At 39.5% G+C, this 21,751-nt stretch overlaps 1 long non-coding RNA gene across 1 annotated transcript in view; it reads right to left on the reverse strand.

Moving 5' to 3' along the window:
• LOC107985962 (uncharacterized) overlaps positions 1-21,751 on the reverse strand; it is a 243,604-nt gene that overhangs the window by 21,561 nt on the left and 200,292 nt on the right. The window contains exon 4 of the long non-coding RNA XR_007087312.1: positions 1-16,518. This exon is cut by the window's left edge and continues 21,561 nt beyond it. This is a non-coding gene — a long non-coding RNA (uncharacterized LOC107985962). The remainder of the gene's footprint in view (positions 16,519-21,751) is intronic.

Consider the following 21,751-nt stretch of genomic DNA (forward strand, 5'->3'; position numbering starts at 1 on the left):
TGTTCTTGCAAAAAAAAGGAATTCTTTATTCTCTACAAAATTATTTTTAGGGATGGGATCTTGCTCTGTCATCCAGGCTGGTGTGCAGTGGTGCCATCGTAGCTCACTGCAGACTCCAATGCCTGGTCTCAAGCAATCCTTTCACCTCAGCCTCCCAAATAGCTGGGGTCACAGGTGGGAACACCTCACCCAGCAAGATTTCCTTCTTTATAAAGGCTGAAAAGTATTCCATCATGCATATATACCACAGTTTCCTTATCCAGTCATTCACTTTTGAACAGTTAGGTTGCTTCCATATCTGGACTACTATAAACAATGCTAAAATGAACATTTCAAATGAAATGAATGCAGATGTATCTTCAACATACTGATTTCATTTCCTTTGGATATATATTCAGAAACGAAATTTTTGGATCATATGGTAGTTATTTTTAATTTGGGGGGGGAACCTCCTATATTAGTCCATTTTCATAGTGCTGTGAAGAAATACCCAAGACTAGGTAATTCATAAAGAAAAAGAAGTTTAATGCACTCACAGTTTCACATGGCTAGGGAGGCCTCACAATCATGGTGGAAGGCAAAGGAGGAGTAAAGGCACATCTTACTTGGTGGCTGGCAAGAGAGTGTGTGCAGGAGAACTGCCCTTGATAAAACCAACAGATCTCGTGAGACTTATTCACTGTCATGAGAACCACATGGGAAAAACCTGCCCCCATGATTCAATTACCTCCCAACAGATCCCTCTCATGACATGTGGGGATTATGGGAGCTATAATTCAAGATGAGATTTGGATGGGGACATAGCCAAACCATATCACTCCATACTGTTTTCCATAATGGCTATACTAATGTACATTCCCAGAAACAATATATGAGGGTTCCCTCTTCTCCACATCCTTGCCAGCACTTACATTTCATCTTTTTGATAGAAGCCATTCTAACAGGTGTGAGGTGATATCTCATTGCTGTAATTTGCATTTCCCTGATGATTAGTAATGTTGAACATTTTTAATTTACCTATTGATCATTGTTATGTCTTCTTTTGAGAAAAGTCTATTCAGATCCTTTGTCCATTTTTAAAATTGGGCTATTTGTTTTCTTGTTATTGAGTTGTTCAAGTTCCATATATATTTTTGATATTAGTCCCTTATCAGATGTATGGTTTGCAAATATTTTCTCCCATTCCATAGGATGTCTCCTCACTCTGTTGATTGTTTCTTTGGCAGTGCAGAAGCTTTTTAGTTTGATGCAATCCTATTTGTCTATTTTTGCTTTTGGTGCCTATGCTTTTGTGGTCACAACCGACAAATTATTGCCCAGACCAATGTCATGGAGACTTTCCCTATGTTTTCTTCTAGTAGTTTTACAGTTTCAGGTCTTAACTTTAAGTCTTTAATCCATTTTAAGTTTGTGTTTCTTATGGGGTGAGATAAGGGTCCTATTTTATTCTTTTGCATGTGGTATCCAATTTTTCCAGCACCATTTATTGAAGGTGTTATCCTTTCCTCATAATTTGTTCTTGTCACCTTTGTCAAAGTTGCTTGTAGTTGACTGTTGTTGTGTAGATTTATTTCTAGATTCTCTATTCTGTTCCACTGGTCTCTATGTCTGTTTTTTGCCAGTATCATCCTGTTTTGATTATTATAGTTTTGTAGCAAATTTTGAGATGTCTCCAGCTTTGTTCTTTTTGCTGAAAGATTCCTTTGGCTATTTGAGATCTTTTGTGGTTCCATAAGACTTTTAGTATCATTTTCTCTATTTCTACAAAAAAATGGTCATTTGAATTTTAATAGGGATTGCACTGACTTTATGGATTGCTTTGGGTAGTATGGACATTTTAACAATATTAATTCTTCCAATCAATAAACATGGAAAATCTATTTATTTGTGTCTTCCTCAGTTTCTTGTATCAGTGTATTATAGTTTTCAGTGTATAGATCTTTCACCTTCTTGGTTAAATTTGTTCTTAAGTATTTTATTTTATTTTATTTTATTGCTATTGTAAATGGGATTCCTGGGTTTCTATTGTACTGTATTCTCTGGAATATTCCTGGGACTTCCAAGATAATGAAACATTGTGGAAATTCCATACTTGGGCAAGTAGGACTTGGCTAAATACTTTAATGTACAGCACCTGAGCTTGTCACTGCCAAGATACCAAATCCCCTTTTTACTCTAAACTCAGTACTAGCTGATGCTTACTGTTTTCAGATATCCAGTCATAAACAATTAAAAAGATATTCCTTTTTCTCTTCATAGAAATCTCCTCACCCCCTGTGCCAAGATAAAGATACTTCCTGTTGTGACTTTCAATGTTCAAACCACTAGAATTGATGATTTCTGGTAACCTCAAAGAAAAGACCGCAGTGTGTGTACATGTGGCTACAGCCATCACCAGAGGTTTCAACCTAGGCCCATGAGCCTCAAAGGGCAAGTGTAAACAAGAGTTCCTCATTAAATCTGAGTTTGGCATTAGTAAGATTGTCCAAAGATTATATTTAAGTAACTAAAGTGTTACTATATTCCTTCTTGCAGCCCAGCCATGACCCTAATTAATGTGTCTAGGGTGGACATGTATTTCTTCAAGTAATGGGTGGTTTTGTTTGGACAATTAGACCAAGCTGACAAGGAAATTTTCCATCAAACCAAGTCATAAAAAGTACATTATTCAGCATTATTATGAGTTAAGCAGTATTTATTACCTGAACTTTACAATACTCTATTATCAATCATTACCTGCCATTAAGGTATGTTAACATGAGATCAAAGAGAGAAACCAAGCTAAACAAACAGTCATGTCTACAAGTTGCTTTAGTGCTGTTCCTTTAAAGAGAGGCAAATGTCATTGAACTGAAGGATGGACAATTTGCATTTAACCAGAAGATGCTAATCAGTTGTACTGTGACAAGGCAGTGATTATATAAATTCCGTGCTTGTTATTCAATTGACAAGACAAAGCTGGTTTCCAGGGAATTTCTAAAAAAGGCAAAAAAAAAAAAAAAAAAAGCCCAGAGTAAAATGTGAGATACAAAAGTCCAGTTTTGATGGGCACTAGTAAAGATTCATTGCTGTATCAATTCTTAGCAACAATACTGCCTCGGAAGTCACTAAAAATGATATCAGCCGAATAGATCTAAAGAGGAGACCAAATGTTTTTAGCAAAGTTGTAAAACCTTGGAAACCACCTCCTGAACAAACACTCTAAAAGCTCAGAAGTCTAAGACAAGCTAACAACGCCCTGGCTTTAAAATATATTCTTGTCACCACCTCTTCCCTCTTACTCTGGAGCCAAGCACACAAACAAGGGTTCTGAAAGGTTTCCCTTTAAAAAGCACATTCCTCCTCCTTCATTCCAGAAGCACATAATCCCATCCTTTCTGAAATCAAGCTCTTCCATTCATGCCCATTGGCTTCCTTCCCTGTATGTTAAAGCTGATGCTTGAGAAGAGATAGCTAGTGTTCAATTTGAGCTCAAAGGCATCTGCAAGTAATTGAGGAGATATTGAATACTTTTGTTTATACAAAATACAGGAAGGTGTCCTTCTGAGGATCAAATATTCTTCTAAAACTGTAACTACATTCTCTGACTGATCTAAAATGGACAGTGCACATCCACAGCAGAGAAAAAGGGTAAAGATTCTTAGTTTGTTACTTTTAACATTAGGCAATCCTGCCTGCTAATGTAGCATAATTGTCCACTAGCTGGACAATTGTTTTTCAAGTTATGTTACTTATAGGGATTCTCAAGGGTGACTAAAGAAGCCACTTAGTACAAATTATCAATCAATCAACAAAGTATATTGAGTGTCTCAGTGCAGTGGGGGGGGGGGGTCACAATAGGATAAAACTTGGCCTCTGTCTCCATGAGATGCAAGGTGACATACACAGAAAGACGGCCAACACCATTGACCAGGCAGGGGGAATAGCAGTGAGGACAGGGGGAGGAGTGAGCACCGCTATGTTGGAAGGCGAGCCACTGAGTGCATATTCATTCAGTGCGAGCGGTGCAGAACTCTGAGTTACCCCCTAGGCAGACAGGACCAAGCTGGAATGGGTAGACTTCAGACAAGCAAACAGGAGCAAGGCTTGGCCCTTCTCAGTGGTCAATGACTTAAGCAAAATGCCTGTGTCAATATATAGATGACTCTTCCTTTTCTATCCAGACAGCTGAGTTTCAGGAGTACACATGGCATAATTAGATCAATCTGAAAGGTGTAGAGAGTTTCGTGTGGCCCTGAGGAGAGATCTGTAAGTTTGAAATATATGTTTGGAACCAAATGATGAAGAGGCCTGAAAGCCAGGCTTAGAAGGAAATTGATCCAATTAAGAGGTGCTTCTCCTCTGGGGATTTCTAAAGAGGGGCATGGCAGAACAAAAGTGGTATTTGGGGCAGATTCTTTTGGTCAAGAGGTATCTGGGAGGCTGGGGTGTGGAAAAGTTGGAAGCCAGGAGGTTAGACCAGAAGTTACCATGGTAGCCATTTCTGCAGGGATGTGAGGCAGGGGCTGTAGGCTGTTGTGAATAGGAGTGTGCTGGAAAACTAGAAGGAATAGAGGGACAAGGGAGAGAATTCCAAAGCTTGGAGCCATCGCTGTGGGTGACAAATGTGGATGCTGGAGTGCAATAGTAGTGATAACTGTTGTCCTCCAGTTTTCATTCTCCCTCTCTTCCTTTAGTAACCAAACCCTGGATTTTAGAGGCAGCATTGCAGAATGGTCAAGATCACAAATTTCGGATTCAGCCTGTGAGGGTCTGAATTTCACCACCATCAATTACTATCTGATGACCTTGCTGAGGTATTCTACCTCTCTGTGCCTCAGTTACCCTACCTGAAAAGTGGGAATAACAATTGTGCTTACCTTATAGAATTGTTGTAAGTCAGTTTGTATAAAGCTCTTAGAATAGTGCTTGGTTTCCAGGGAGCGCTATGTACATGTCAGCTATGTTATGAGCTGAACACACAGCTGTAGCATTTCTAGCTCTGTGTAGCATTTGTCCAAGTATTAACCAATGGGATGTGAGAGGAAGCAGTGTGTACAACTTTCAGATTGCACCCTTAGAGGGCGCCTCTTCTTCCTGCTGGTGGGACCATGGACACACTGAGACCATGAGATATAGTGTGTAAAGGAGCTTAAATGACTGATACTGTGAGGCACCACACCAGCCCTGGGCTGCTTATGTTTCTATTACTACCTGAGAAAAATAAAACTCTATCTGATTTGAGTCACTATTGTTTTGGGGTCTCGGTTATAGCAGCTGACCTGTATTTAAATTAATACACATGGACACAGATGAAGCCTAGTGGAGGCTTCTAAGATACAAGATGGGGGCTTGTGTTTGGACATGTCTCAGCTACTAGAGGTGAAAGAAGAGTCTCCACCCAGCCACTGCTCAAAAGATTTGGGGCTCCTGTCTGCTGATTGTCTGCATTGGGACTTTTAGCTCATTCCACCTGGCTCACATGGCCTACACAGAGGGTGGGCTGCCCTATGCCTCTGAATCCAGGACCTAAGGCTGCAGATGACGTTTGTGTGCCTTGTCTCCCCTCCCAGTTTGTCCTGCATGCTCATTTTAACTTGATTTCTACCCACATAAAAATGCTAGAGTTAGAGGAAGTTATTGTGATTCACCCAAGTTGGTATCTATTCCTAGGAATGACCATGCCTAAATTGCTAGTGATGCCTTCACAAAAAGAGGAGCCGAGAGGAGGTACTGAGTGTGAGGTGGTGATGGGACATACAAGGAAATGTCCAGCCATTGGTTAAAATACATAGACCTGAGCATAGAAAACAAGACAGAGCCATGTGATACACATAAAGTTTGATATTGGCTTCCAATCTGTAGCCATCATCCAAAACCCTGTGTAAGAGACTTAGAGCTTTACTTTAAAAAAAGCAATCTTGGCCTGGCGTGGTGGCTTGCACCTGTAATCCCAGCACTTTGGGAGGCTGAAAGGGGCGGATTACTTGAGGTCAGGAGTTTGAAACCAGCCTGGCAAAGATGGCGAACCCCATCTCCATTAAAAATACAAAAAATTAGCTGGATGTTGTGGTGCATGCCTGTAGTCCCAGCTACTAGGGAGGCTGAGGCAGGAGAATCGCTTGAACCTGGGGGTGGAGGCTGTAGTGAGCCAAGATTGTGCCACTGAACTCCAGCCTGGGGACAGAGTGAGAATGACTAAAAAAAAAAAAAAGCAATCTCATTCCTTCTAGTCACACATTCAGGATGCCCTGCTGTCCCCCATTTATCTATGGTTAGGTTTCATTTCTTGAAATTGTGTTAAGTAGATTCTCTATCCAGTCCTTCCTCCTTATCACTGCCATCAAAACTCTGACGAATTACTTGATCCTGCCTCTGCTTGCTCTAAAATCTTCACTGACTCTACAAAGCTTTCTGGGAAAAGTGGAAATAATTTAGGTTAAAGCTGAAAACTTACAGTCTTCTATGATCTAATATCAACATTTCTGACTAACTTTAGCTCAGAATTCTTTTTAAAATAAAATCTATATTTTATTCAAAACAAGCTCCTAACTCTTCCCTTTTTCCTGCTTCTTTGCCAATCTTTATACCATGGCTTCTTCCTGGAATGACTCTCCCCTTGCCCCTCCTTCTCCATCACTTAAATAGAAGCTACTCTTCAAAAAACATGAAATATTTTTCTTCATGAAAACGCTTGCGGGACTGGGCGCAGTGGCTCACGCCTGTAAACCCAGCACTTTGGGAGGCCGAGGCGGGTGGATCACCTGAGGTCGGGAGTTCGAGACCAGCCTGACCAACATGGTGAAACCCCATCTCTACTAAAATACAAAAAATTATCTGGGCGTGGTGGCGCGTGCCTGTAGTCCCAGCTACTCGGGAGGCTGAGGCGGGAGAATTGCTTGAACCCAGGAGGCAGAGGTTGCAGTGAGCTGACATCACAGCACTGTACTCCAGCCTGGTGACAGAGCAAGACTCCGTCAAAAAAAAAAAAAAAAAAAGAAAAAAAAAGTGCTTGCGTCACATTCAGCTGACTTGTCTGATTTCCATCATTGTTTTAGTTGTCTCTTCTCTATATATCACCTGCTGCCTCAAATTACATATTTGTTCATGTCCTACACCTTCTACATTCTTGTTGGAGATCAAGGATATTTTTCAGTTTCTTCATACGGCCTGAACCAGTGTCTTAAACATTTATTGAAATGGTGAGCTTGTGTTTAGCATATAACACTCCTGGACAAATTGAAGTCCTTTTAGATTTTATGTAAGACTCTGAGAGAATGAAGCTTTTTTTAGTTCTTCATGGGACTGTTAAACTGGATGATGTAATTCTAAAGCTGTCTACATGAAAGAAGGAAGCCCTTGGGCTGAAGGAGAAAAGCAAGAGCAAGTAAAAGACAGAAAAAGCCAACAACATCATTTGGATTGTTGTAGCCTACAAAGACAGTTCCAGCCTTAGGCTTCCCCTGATCTACACCCCAGCAAGTTTCCTTTGTTGCTCTTGTTTATTTGAGGTGGATTTCTATTCTTGTGAATAAAAGAGTCCTCACCATTTACACATGCTGAGAGGCTTCTAGTATTCTGAAGCATATAAGATTAAGTTACCCTAAACACATTCCAGCTGTGTCCCTGAACATCTGTGAGGCACAACATATGTTCTTCTAAAGCCTCTCACTATTCTTGTTTCATTTAAGATGAGGGTATTTGATAACACATCAGATTGTTTGCAAAAGGGCTTATTATCTGTTCTATCAATTATTGTTAAGGAACTTAAATTTCATAAAAAGAATCCACAGACTGATGAGGGTATTACACTACCAAGAACTGCACCCTTTTCTCAACCCTACAATTTGGGGAATTTCTGAGCCTGTTGGTCAATCCAAATGTCACATTTCTAATGACCCAATAAAATACCCTAGTCTAGCTCCATGTGCCTCAGAAACTAGGGGGCAGCTTCTAATAGACGGGCTGTCTGCTCTTACTAAAAGGAAATACTCATCCCCAGAAAGCCTGCATGTCATCGTGGATAAACCAACTTTTGCTCATGCTGCCAAGAATTTCATCGGTGCTCTGCGTACAAATTCAGCAGTCCAAATGCAAATTCAAAAGCAGAACAGTCATGCACTCTTCACACCTATTAAAGTGAAGTCAAGGAAGAGTTCCCACAACCTGGCACTACGACAGTAAAATCTAGGAGTTGTATCATCTTCAGAAGTTCAAGAAAAAATGCCTCTGGCTAAATTGAAAGTAGAAATGGCTATATATGCAACCATAAGTCAACTCTAAAATGAATAAAGACACTTTTTAAGACAACATTATTTCAGAAGTACTTTTTATTGCCCAAGATTGAAACAGAGACGAATTAGTCAAGTTTGTATCAGTAATACAGCTGATAGTTCTTGAAGTTTTGTTGTGAAATGCTACCTTCACAGGAAGCTCCAATTTGTCAGTGCAAGGGACAGTGAAAAGTCTCTTGGGAAAAAATCGGTTCACACCTCCAGGAATCCTGGCCTAAAAGATTCACACCATTGGAAAAATCTGCAATTGGAAAACTGTCACATGATTTCCCTGGGCATTTGCTTAGGAAGATGAAAGAGGTATCAGTGTATTTCCATCTGGTTCCATTCATTGCACAAAATCATTTGAAAGTTTTAAAAGGAAACAATAAAGAGCCTGAAAATCTAATCAAACTAGGTATCCAGTAGCCAATAGGTGACAGCAATTGGGCAGATTTTGCAACTTACTAAGATGAGACTCTGAGATGGCTCCTGACCAAGGCATGGGGATACCATTCATTGTCAAAGCCTGTAATTCTTTCAGCCTTTCATGGTCTTGTTGGTGGAATTTCTTTTTGTTTTTTTGCAAAATGTGGCTCTTTCAAATTTATTAACAGTTGATTATTGATGCCACTCTTCGAATCTTTTCCTAATACTTCATAGACAACATACTTTCTGAGATCCCAAGGGTGCTATTATGTTTTGAAGTGTTCCATATCCAAACTTCAACCAAGGAAAAACTTGATGACAGATTTCAAGAACTCTTGAATCATTTCAATGCATCAAATATCAAAGAAAAATAAAGAAATGTAAGGTCAAACATTCTAGGGTCACAGTACCATATCCAATAACTATCTGGGTGACTGTAAGCACACTACTTAACCTCTCTGAGCTTTAGCTTCCTCATCTGTAAAATAGGAATCCTACTTTACTCACAGAACCATTACAAGGATTGAATAAGACACAATATATGTGAAAGCAAATAGCACAGTGCCCAGCAGTAAAGTTTTAGTAAATAGGGTTGCCATGTGTCTGGTTTTAAACCAGACAGTCCGGTATTTGAGTTTTCTTTCTGAGAAACAGATAGAGAAAAGACCAGACATATAAATGTAAATGTGAGTAAGTGTTATCGTTACTGTCATGGAATGTCTTGTGCATGAGTATTAGAGCTTTCTCTCACTAGGACAATTTGTCCCAAGGAATGAGAGGGAACACGCGTCACTGAAACTTGCTTCTGGTACCATGAGGCAGAAGAAAGCTCAGCATGCACTTTGCTGGGTACTAGGTTCCACCATTGCTGTTGGCCAGGTGCATGGGATGGGCACTGCAGTGGTGCTCAGTGTACCATTCGTGACAGTGTGGTCCTTGCCCAGCTCTCATTTTCCTCTATCTCCTTGTTCTTCTTTTTGGTAGGGGATATTTGGCCGTTTTATACTGAAGGGCAGACTACTTAAGAATGAAGAATATTGAATTTTTCATTAAATTTCCAAATTGTTTAAGACAAAAACCATTTTTTTCCAGTAAGAAATTACATTTTAACCAAAATTACACTTGCCAGTTCTTGTCATTAAATCGTCAGTGTTCTGGGCAGGTCAGCACAGTATCTCCTCTGCCCGACTTTTCTTAAGTTTGAATTTATTCTGCCTGAAGGTCCCCGTTCAGGAAAGCCCAAATGGCCTATTGTTACCTGGAGTGGCACCCCTCCAGGAGCTCAAAGTGTGGTCATAACCTCAAAACCCACTAGAGACTGAAGTCCAATTTACTTTGCTTATCTGAGTGATACTTGCTCAATTAGTATTCTATTTCACTTCCACCAAAGAGAGACAAGAATCATTTAGCCTATTCATTGCCAATTGGAAACATTGTCCCACACTGTTGGATTCAACAGCCTAAATTTGCTTTCTAGAATGTCAAACGTGTTTCTTTCTAATCTAATTGTAGCAGACTTCAGTTTCTCTCCAAAGGCATTTCACCTAAGAGTGTTGGGTCCTTGATTATCCTCAAGATTTCAGACACACCAAACGGTCCCTCCTCGCGAAGAATAGCCTATAGATCACACCATGCCCCACTTGAAAATTTTTAAACACTTCTCAGGAATAAAGATTTTCAAAGAATGTGGGGTTATCCCTTTACGGTTTGTTCTGAAAGCAATCTGGGGAGAAAATCTCCTTTCTCAGGAAAAGCCAGTTCCTTGAGTTGTTGCCTACAAATGTAGCCATAACATCTCTGACCAGCTGTCTAAGCTCAAGCTTAGAAAAGTTGAATGTGGTTCCCAGATTCTGTGGCACCCCTGTCCACTGGAAGTTTTGAATGTCCCAGGATTTGACTGACTCACTTCTTTAGAGTAATTAGGTTGAGCAGTTAATTGCACAGATGGCTTGTTGCTTCATTCCTTTAACTTGGATGAAGGGGATTCCCAAAAGGGCAAGCATCTGAATCATTCAATGGTTATACAAACTATCCTAATTCAGTTATCTTTTCAAAAAGGAAATTTTATGAAGCATTTGTTATTTTAGAATCTGACATCATGCTGTCCTTGGTTCCCCCACAGAAGTAAAGGAAGAATAGGGTGGAGACTAAAGAAAGCTAGAAGCTACATTTGGTGGCCTAAATTATATTCTTTTTCATTCTAGTAAAATCTGATCCATATTTTCTTTTAAAAGTAATACTAACTCATTATAGAAAAAATTTTAAAATACAGATACAATTTTTAAAAAGGGACAATCACCACTGAGTTAATCAAAATTAAGCAGAGTTTTTAAAAAAACTTCAGGACTTCTGAGATCCTTGGGTGTTCTTGACAAGAACATTTGTGTGTTTCATCAAGAATGCCTGTTCTACCCATTACCTATTCATAGTCCCTGGAAACACAGTTTGGAAAATACTATCCTAGGGAGTAGTCATAGTTTAAGATATAATTTACACTAGCTAGCAATTAATTTTTGTAAATATTTTCTCGGTAATTATTTTGCCAGTGGGGTAGAGCTTGAGGAGATAGAAAGTTACAATTCACTCCACTGAGCAAAGAGCCCATCAAAATCCAGAAATAAGATGAAGACAGTTGTGGGTTGGCTCCAGGATGATAAACATTACTTGCTTCATAACTGGCCCCAGCACACAGTATCTTTGTAAATATATGTCTCATGTTGTGATGGTTAATTTTATGTGTTAACTTGACTGGGCCAAAGGATGCCCAGATAGCTGGTTAAACTTATTTCTGGGTATGCCTGGAAGGGTGTTTCTGGAAGAGATCAGATTGAATTGGTAGACTGAGGAAAGCAAATTGCCCTCCCCATTGTAGTCATGACTCATCCAATCTGTTGAGTGAGTGAATAGAACAAAAAGGCAGAGGAAAGTTAAATTTGCTTTCTGACTCCTTGAGCTGAATGTCAATCTTCTGCCTTCAGCACTCCTGGTCCTCAGGCTCTGAGACTGAGACTGGAATCTACACCAGTCTCCAGCTCTCCAGCTCTCAGGACTTCAAAAGACACCTTCAGACTTCCTGGGTCTCCAGCTTACAGATCGTGGGACTTCTCAGCCTCCATAATTGCATAAGACATGGGCCAAAAATATATTATCTATGTATTTACATAGATAAATATCTATCTTCTTTGGCTCTGTTTCTCTGGAGAATCCCGACTAACACACTTGTACAAAATGCTGCATCCCTCTGTTGTATGCTGCTCTCCCTGGTTTGTGTAACCTTTATCCTTTTACTTATAAAGCCCATTTAGAAAAAAAGTCCACTAACCTCTGCATATCTGACACTTTATTGGAATTTACATGTGAAATGCTAATAGCCCCAATGGTCAGTTCAGGATTCCCATTTCAATCCCATCTTCCTAAGGCATCTCTTGGTGGAGAGTGACTTTCTCACTGCTTATTACAAAATAGATACCTTTGCTTGTTTTCTTTTCTATTTCCCAAGACATCAGAAAGCCTTAAGGAATAGAAGTCCCATGGTCTTCGTTTTACTGATTCTTCTCTCCTACATTTTCTCTGACTTCTTAACTTTAAAGAGATTCCTTAAGCTTGGTGTCTTTGCCCTAACATGCGGGCCACATTACTTGAGGCCTTGCTCTAAGAGGCAGAATATATCAATAGCATGAGCTCACATCTGTAATGTCACCTCCATGTGCCTGGCACTGTGCTAAGCACTTCACATAGATTATCTCATTCAGTCCTCACGAAACCAAACCAAAACAGAACAAACAAAACGTTTGTAATTCCCTTTCTACAGGTGAGGAAGCCTGGGCTTGGCAGCTTTTCTAGAATTTCACAGTGGCAGAACAGGATTTGAATTCAGAGCTGTCTAACTCCCAAACCCATATTATTAACTGCTGCCCTTATAGTCAGTTTAAGGCAGTAGTTTTCAAAGTTTGGCTCCTGAAACAGCACCATCAGCATCACCTGGGACCTTGTTACAAATGCAGATTCTCAGGTACCACCGTAGACCTATGAAATCAGAAACTCTGAGCAGGGGGACCAGCAATTTGTGCTATAACAAGCCTTTCGGGTGATCTGATGTACGCTAATATTTTAAAAACCACTGCTCTGAAAACCTAGCAGGAGGGCTTTAGGTCAATGGTGAGAGATAATTTTTTGGCAGCATTGTTAACACTGGTGTAGGCCACCTCAAAAAGCTCCACTCAGACTTCTTTTGCTGGGGTCTTGAACATGTTTGAGCCTGATGAGTGCGGAGGGGCCAGTATCTCCCGCTACTCCCAACCTTATGGACCCTTCTCTCAAGTACACAGCACCACGCTGCTGAATCTGAGTGGCAGCCCAACTCTCTCAACGACACCAGAAAAAAATCTGACCTTAAAATTAAGCCTAACAAAAAACAGGATTCTGATTCCTTGTATAGGTGCTGGAAAAATAATCAGCGGCAACAGGGGGGAACATCATCATTGCTTTCTCCCTTCCTACTCACCCAGTGCAGTGGCATGCCATATATTAGCAGGCACTTTACATCAGACTAATTCAAATCCCCCTGTCAGACAAATCCCACCTATGAGCACTGCTGTCTACACCACATAACACCACATAGATCAAGAGCGGGAAGAGGCCAAAGTCATGAACGCCATAGCTTTCCATAAAACTTAATTAATGACAGAAGCATATTGCTGGGAATGGCAACACGATCATTATTTACGGTTCAGGAAACCCCAAATGTAGGCACTTCCCTTTTCCTTTTCCCCAGCCCCAGGTCTACCCATGAGAAGTTTACTTCATTCATTTCAGTAACTTTGTGAATCATTTGCCAAGTCAGCGAGAACATGTAGCATGGTATACATAAACATTAATATGACAGCTGAACATCCAACACATGTCCCAGGAGAAATGGACCACCCATTGGATGCTGCCCTGTTCTTTTCTGTCCCTGTATCTGAACACTTTTCACACTTCACATTTCTACGGTCGTTAACAGTTCTAACCTGGCACCCCCAAGAACACAATTTCCCCAAGGAACCTTACTGCTAAAAGCTTCAAAAAAAAAAAAAAAAAAAAAACCCTTTCCACCTTCCCAGCCACACCACCGCACACAGGCATGGGCCAGCGACCAGAGAAACAACTCAGCACTGACACGTAGTTATCACTTTGGGAGGCTGTGTAGCAGAGTGGGGGAAAGTGGACATCTGGCTTCGAATTCAGGTGAGATGTTCTTAGTGTCCTCATCCATAAAATGAATCCAATAATAACACTCAGCTTCAAGAGTTGTTGTGGGGTTTGAACCAACATGACGTGTGCAGTGCAGCACCTAGTGTTGAGTAAGGGCTAAGTAAACATTAATGGTATGCTGGCTCCTGCTTTTGTCTTCTTTACTGAGAACGCCAGGTGCCCCCACCCGGCTGGAGTCAAGCCCAGGCTAGTATTTTACCAGACACCCTATTCTATTACCCAGGCAGATTTTAGGAGACGGCCTGAAGGTGAATGTCAATTTTTACCTGTGTGAGTATGTCCATTTTTTCTCTGAAGACAAAGTCTAGGGCTTTCAGCTTATTCTCCAAGGCACTCATGACCACCCCAGCATCTCAGGGAGAGAAAGAAAACTGTACTCTTGGAAAGCACAGAAAGTAAGAACATACATTTATGTTTGAGAAAACAGTTCCATATGTTGGAAAGAGCATTACACCATGAGTCATAAAACTCAACTTTTAGTCTTGCCTCAACCATAAAAGGACTATGACAAATGCCTTATCAGAGCTCAGCTTCCATTTATTTGTTTGAAGAGGACATCATAATAACTCCTTCCCTTGCCTCTTACAGTTGTGGGGATTGTACTAGGTAATGGATGTGAAAGCACCTTTTAAAGCAGAAAACACCACACCAATACATACATGATAATGTAAGGTTCAGATGCTTCATCAGGTGAACTGTTTGCAGCTGGCCTGTGTAGTACAAAAAATTATGAGAAAATAAAGCTTAAGTTATACTTTTCTTCTTGCTCTACTTATGTAAAATAACATCATTATCTCTGAAATAATTTATTAAAAATAAGCAAGCAGAAATTCTTTGTGAAAGGAGAGAATTCTATAAATATTGTTTGATTTGACCCAATCTACTATAATCCTTAGAGGTACCTGGCTTCCCCCAAAGGTTTGCTTTAATTGCATGTCACTGCTAACTTCCTTGTAAAGAGACAGGCCTCTGCCATTCCTTCTAATTATCCAAATCACTGGCCACTGTGTGTGGCCTTACCTAAGGCTTTTAACCAGAAGTAATGTCACTAAATTAAAGCAGGTGGGAGGTGTCCCTATTGCAATGACTGTAATAAATGCTACATGACATTCCTTTAAGACCATTTGGAAATATTCTTTGCAGAGATACACCAATTCCAACATAATTCATCAGTTAAAAACATTAATAACCACAAGCCTACATGTAAACTGCCTCTCACTAGAGGAAACATATTCCATCTATAAAGAACATAACTTTGGCAACCTCACTTCAGGCCTAGGCTGTCCTGAAAAAGAACATTACATAGTCAGTACAATTATGTGGCTATTTCTGTTGCTTCCCCAAACCCAGAAGCAATGGCATTAACTGATATTGGCATTCATAATGTACTAATAACAAACAACATTCATTAACGTATTCCTACATGCAAATGTCACGTACACCTCTTTATATACATTTTATAATTTCATATGCACAATCCTGTGTGTACAGTTATTGTGCCCCATCTACAGCTGTGACAACCGAGGCCTTGAGAGGTTAAGTTACTTCTGCCTGAAGTGCCAGAGAAGCACTAAGGAGAAATAGAGCATATGTGGAACCGACCAGGAGACTGCACAGAGGAGGCTGAGACAAATTGCTCTAAATTATCATGATCTATGTGACAGTTGTATAAACATCAAGAATGTGCAACATACAGTTTTAACATCTGGAGCTACATGGTAAAAATGCTGAAATAATAACATTTCTTATTAATAACAAGCATTTCTTCAGTGCTTCTACAATTTTACATTTGTAAGTTGGAAATAGGAGGTTGTCATGTTTTTTAGATTCTTAAATATTTCAGCTCAATTTTAAACGAAAATATTTAAGAGGAATAACACAAGATGCTTGAATTTTCATAATTCTTCATTCTTAAGTTGTAACATGGATGTTTTTGGCTTGTGAAAATTCATCAGAGTGTATACTTATGGTCTAGACACTTTCCTGTGTGTATGCTATACTTTAACAAAGTTTCAAAACTGTATCTATATACCTATATACTCATGTTTCATCACTATTTTCTATACTTTCCAAGAAGTGAACATCAGGCTGTTGCTATACCTTTTAATTTTCTCCACAATAATTTTCCTTTACAATGAAAATCTCTGGAACAGCATCTTGGTAAATCTCTAGGTAAATTTTTGTTGACATCAGAAAACTTATAACCCACACATCAAGCCTGAATTCCTGATCCAGAGACTCAAACAGCTCTCTGTGTGGTAGCTCTTGCTTAGAAGGTCAAAAAGCAGTTTGTTACAAATAAAAAGCAGAGATCAAAAGGGGCTGCTACTCTTTTTCTGTGGACCCTGTTTTTCAGGACAAGCACTGTGCTAGCCAACAGGAGAATGGGGTAGGGAGGAAGCTTGTTTTGCTGAGATGAGGGCAGTTGCCTGGCAAAACCTTGTCCTTCCTGCCCACCTAAACGAGATTTGAATAGAAACACTTCCTAGGATAGGCACTGCTCCCCGCCCTCAGTCCTGTAACAGGGTGTGTCTAACCTTTTATTCCTCTTCCCTCATCACCAGTTGGAGTAACCATCAGGCACCTGGGAATAGAGTGATAATAACAGAGTGACTTTATTAAAATCATTTAAAAATGATTTTTTAAATAGCTAAACTAAAGCCTTTGTTTCTGTATTTCATCCACAAACTTGCTCAATTCTAACCAGCGGTGTAATCTAATTCACATTTATTTTTATCAATAGTATCTACAGTAGAAAATTATCTATCAAAGGTCAGGGCTTAAGTAAATGTAGCTCTGTGGACGGTGTATTAGGAGATGGCTCAGCTACTGAAACAAAGACTCACCAGCCACCCTGCCCAATACAAACAACCAAAGCAACACAGTGCTCCAAACAAGAGAGAAATTTCTCTTTTACATAAAAGTCTGAATGCAAGCAGCCCAGGGCTGGTTCCACAGCTCTACATCGTTAGGAACCCAGGGATTGTTAAATCTTGCTCTGCCATCCTCAACACGTGCCACCCTTAACCAGTGCCATCTGTCTCACAGTCTGAGTTGGCTGCTCCAGATCTCACCATCTCAACCAATTCCATCCAGAGATGGCAGGAAAATGGAAAATGGAGGATATGCCTCTTTCTCTTAAGGGAATAATCCATAAGTGGAACACTACACATTTCCCATTGGCCAGAACTTCCACAGATGGACACAACTAGCTTAAAGGGAGGCTGGAAAATGTGATTATTAGCTGGACAGCCACATGCTCTGCTAAACTTTGAAATACTAAAGAAAGAAGGAGAGACCGGACGTTGGGAAACAACAAGTGAAACATGCATTCATTCATTCATCCATGTAATTATTCATTTATCCATAAACACTGGATGCCAGGCACTGTTCTGGTGTTAGGGATATACAAATAAAGCACCATCCTCTATCTCCTACCTCAAGGGGTTTACAGTCTTTGAGGAAACATACATAGGAACAAACTGATAATAATTTTAAAAATTGGTACAAAAATAAAACAAAACAAATGGCTCTACCAGAATTATGCACAAAGTACAAAACTGCCTGGGAGAACCAAGAAAGCTCAGAGAGGAGGCAGCCTTTGTGCTGATATTTGAAGGATAAAAATACCTACAACAATATTATAGCATTTCTTTAGCAATTACTCTGTACCAGACACAGTACTAAATCCTTTATATATATATTAATATTTTATCCCTACAAAAACCCTACATGACAAGAAAATTATTATCATCCCCACGTTGCTGATGAGAAAACTGAGGCATTGTAAGTAGCAGAAGAGGGATTTGAATGTGAACTGACTCCAGAACCTGAGCCTGCACTACCTTTCATGAGTAAAGAAGGAATTCACCTTCATCACCTAAATCTTCTAATGCCTTTTTGCCATGTAAAGGAAAGGAACCATAGCACAAGAGGGGAAAATGAAAGATTAGAGGGTCCCAGAAGCCTGCCTAAGACACAACGAGATGAAACTCAAACTGCAATGCAAGTGTCTGTCTTTCACTTCTCTCCCTGAGAGGGGCTGGTTCTCAATGCACAGTCCAGGGAAACACTGGAAGATCCCAAGGGTCTGTGAAATGTTCTCCAGAATATTATGACTTACAAATTATATGGCCATGTTTGTACCTTTATTCCAAAACCATATTTATTTGTATTAACTAGAACTCAGACATCCACTCCTTTGAGAATATAATCCATTCACTTAATTCTGGGGCAATAAATTTTTGTGTTGCCATGAGGGGAAGCAATTTTCCAATATAGAAACAGTCCACAACCTAAAAAAGAGTTTGACCTTCAATGAAATAAATGATGCATTTGGAGAAGCTCTTCTGCCTCGATGATCCTATTGGGCAAAACAGAATTTGTTCATTTGCAGCAGTTATTTACTATGCTTCTTCTATTATTCTAAACAGATTGTCTTCCATTTGAAAGATGCTGGCCCTAAAGATGAAGGGAAAAAACACAAGTGAAGGCATTCAGTGAAAGCTTGGGAATATTTTGGCATGTTTCAATGAGTCTCTTTTTCTCTTGTTTTCTTCTGGTCATTTCATACCCTTGATTAGTAATTTTACACCCAAATAGTAAAATATGAAATACTTTTTAATACTGCCATGGTGGTAAAAGTGTTTAGTTTTTATGATGTGTCTCCAGAGATAGATCTTTAGCAGTATATAGTGAGGTTAATTCAGCATAAAATAGTATAATACCTTTCTTATTTCTGTTCATTCATTTAGAAATTATGAGCTGAATTCTAGCAAAATCTCCACCCCACTGGCTGGAGACTAGTGTTTTAAAACATTGGGGGTTCTCTTTTTCTCTTTCAGGGAGGTTAAAAGTGTTTCCAATCAATTTTTTAAAGAATCAAATAAACATGAATTATTTCCCATTTTATTTTCTCAGATTCCTAGGAGAAGTTACCATTATTGAAAGCTAGCCACTGACCCCTCTCCTCCTCTTCAGGCTCTCCCGCTCCCTGCATATTTGTGAAATGAGATCTGGAAACCCAACCATCATTTTCCACTGTGCCATTTTGTGAAGATACTAATAATATTTCCCTTGGTTGTATTGTGCAATTGTGTGAGGCAGAGAAAGAAATTGAGTTAGCTACTTGGTAACATAGTAGTGGGGCCAGAAACATTTTTTAAAAAGAAACAAAGAAAGGAAAGAAAACAGGAAGGCTCCTTTTTGGTCCTTGGGCTATACTTAAAACAGATCCCTGGACTCAGGTGCCTGGAGGCAGTGACACCCACCTGTGGAGATGCATTTTCCCCCCAGAAAGTCACGTCCCAGGAAGTCACGGAGATCTGTTTCCAAACGCACTAGCATCATGCTCAGGAGTGGGCGGAGGGCGGGGGTGGGGGGCAGGAATGAAGGTACCTTTCATATATGCAATTATGTTCACTCCTCCTAATGCCGGCACCTCCAAAAGTCCAAACTGGGCTTGTACAATGAGCTACATTCTAACTTAATCTCACAGTCGCTTCTAATTTCAATCTCTAATGAATGCTTGGCACTCCTGTGCTTCCTTTCATAAAAAGACAAAGTTCCTGCTTCTCACTTCGTAAAAATAGCAAGAACAAGTTAACCTTTAGCTAATATGGATAAGAAAAGGTTAATATGAGTAGAATGAAAACACAATTTCCCCACAAGTTTAATTTTACAGTGAAATACAAAGCTCTTTAGACTAGATAATTGTTAGTTTTTCTGGGTACTTACTGCATTACCCCACTTGGAAACCTATTAAGAATTAAAAGTAAACATGTCAAACAAGAACTGCTCCCTAATTAATACTAAGACATGTATGAAAACATTCTTGAATATTAGGCTTAGTAGTATTGTATATTATACTGTCCTTGCTGATAAAAATTTAAATGTTTCTTCAAATGAAAATGCAGACCAATAAAAGATAGCTAAATATGCAAAATGTAGCAATCCATTTGACACACCACAAACCAGTTCTGATAATGTTAAACTGCCTATCTTCATTTTAAAGATTAATTAATTCTAACTACCTTCCTGTGAGAGAACTGATAAACAAAGAGATTGATTAATAGAGAAGTTAAAAAATATATAACATCATGCCAAGGTGCTGAACCTGAAGTCAGAACTCATTCAGTTGTGACAAAGAGACTGTGATTCTAAAGCCTGATTTCTAGCTCCATGTTCCAAACACCATGTCACAAGGAGACATAAAGAAATGTGAGGCAATGCTTCTCAAACCCAGAGAATTTGTTGCTGGTGTTTAAGAGCAGAAACTAGAACTAACCATAAATATATAAAACCCAAATAAACATAGTGATCTCTTAAACTCTGACCCAAACTTAATCCAAGTAGTAATGATTTTCTCAAAACTAAACCAAAAGTAATTTTCCAAGGAACAGAACCTAACTTACTAAAACATCAAAGCACAGAAAACTGTGGTGTGTAGAAAAGGTTGTGGGGTCTAGTCATGATATGGTCCCCGCACCATGATCTGTATCCAGTCATGTCATCTCCTGAGGGCATTGCAGAATCTCAAAGCGTGTCTTCCTGCCATGACACAATATTTCTTTTCTTCCCACACCTGTCATGTTTTGAGACAGTGTGGCCAAGTCTAATGAACTAAAGAAGGACAAGAAAACTAAAGAGCATTAGAACTTTGTAGAAAATCATGTATGGGGAAGAGAGTGGTACTTCGGAAACAATGTCAGGGAAAGTTTAGTCCAGTAGTCAGACCACAGCCTCCCAACCACCCACAATTCTGCAACAGCATGTTACCACGTGATACAAGGCAAAAGCATATGTAACCCACCTTCACACTTCACTCTTAAGTAGTGGAAAATGGATTCATCTGTGCTGTTCAGACAGCAGCCCACATATTGGTCCATGGGATAATTCCATGTAGATGAAAACCCTAGTCTTTCTGGCACTCCATAGCTGTTTGTCAAACTAAATTACTGTTCCTAGACACCAAACTGTATTCTTCTGGTCTGAAAAGGCTATCATGTCTCTGAAAGTACTTATCATGGTTACATGCTTACCACACTTAAAAGAGTCTGCAGCCTATTAATAGAAACATGTGTAGAATAAAAGGGAGTGGCTGGGTTGTAACCAGAAGAAAGAGCATCAAGACAGATTTTAAAAGTCATAAAATGCAGGTTTTGTTCTTCGGGTCATTAAAAAACCTGAGCCTATTTTATTGTAGTGAACCTACTGTTTAATACAATAAAATATAACAGTGAGGATCATAGCAGTTTAGTCATATACTAGGGTACAGAAATTAACTAACACACTGAATTCAGAAAGTCTACTGAATGACACAAAACCTAGATCATGGTAGTAATTTTGTGACGAGCAGCCTCAGATGACTTTGGACGGTTTGCACAGATAAAGGGGAGCAACAGTTTCATTTCCACTGAGGAGGAATCTATAAATGCCTACCCATATCTCTAAGGTCTAGATTCCAAGCTAGCCAGCAAGAATTCTGGTGCAGCAAGAATTCTAGCCAGCAAGAATCTGGCCAGCAAGAATTCTGGTGATAGGAGAAAAGCAAGTCACTAGATTCCATTGCTTTTATTCTATAGTATTTGCCAAAATTGTCAGAGTTGATAGCAAGTGTTTTATATTAAATGTAGAGTATGTGATTCAAAAAAATTGATTTATAGAAATAGTTTCCAACATTGTCATAATTCCATTAGGACATGATTTTATGAGCTAGCAAGAGAGATGGAGAATTATGTCTAAGTTAATAATAATATACACAAAAGCAACTTATTCCTAGATAGTCAACAATTGGCATGTCCATTGAAGAATGAAAG

Source organism: Homo sapiens, chromosome 2 (genome assembly GCF_000001405.40).
Source record: "Homo sapiens chromosome 2, GRCh38.p14 Primary Assembly".
NCBI lineage: Eukaryota > Metazoa > Chordata > Mammalia > Primates > Hominidae > Homo > Homo sapiens.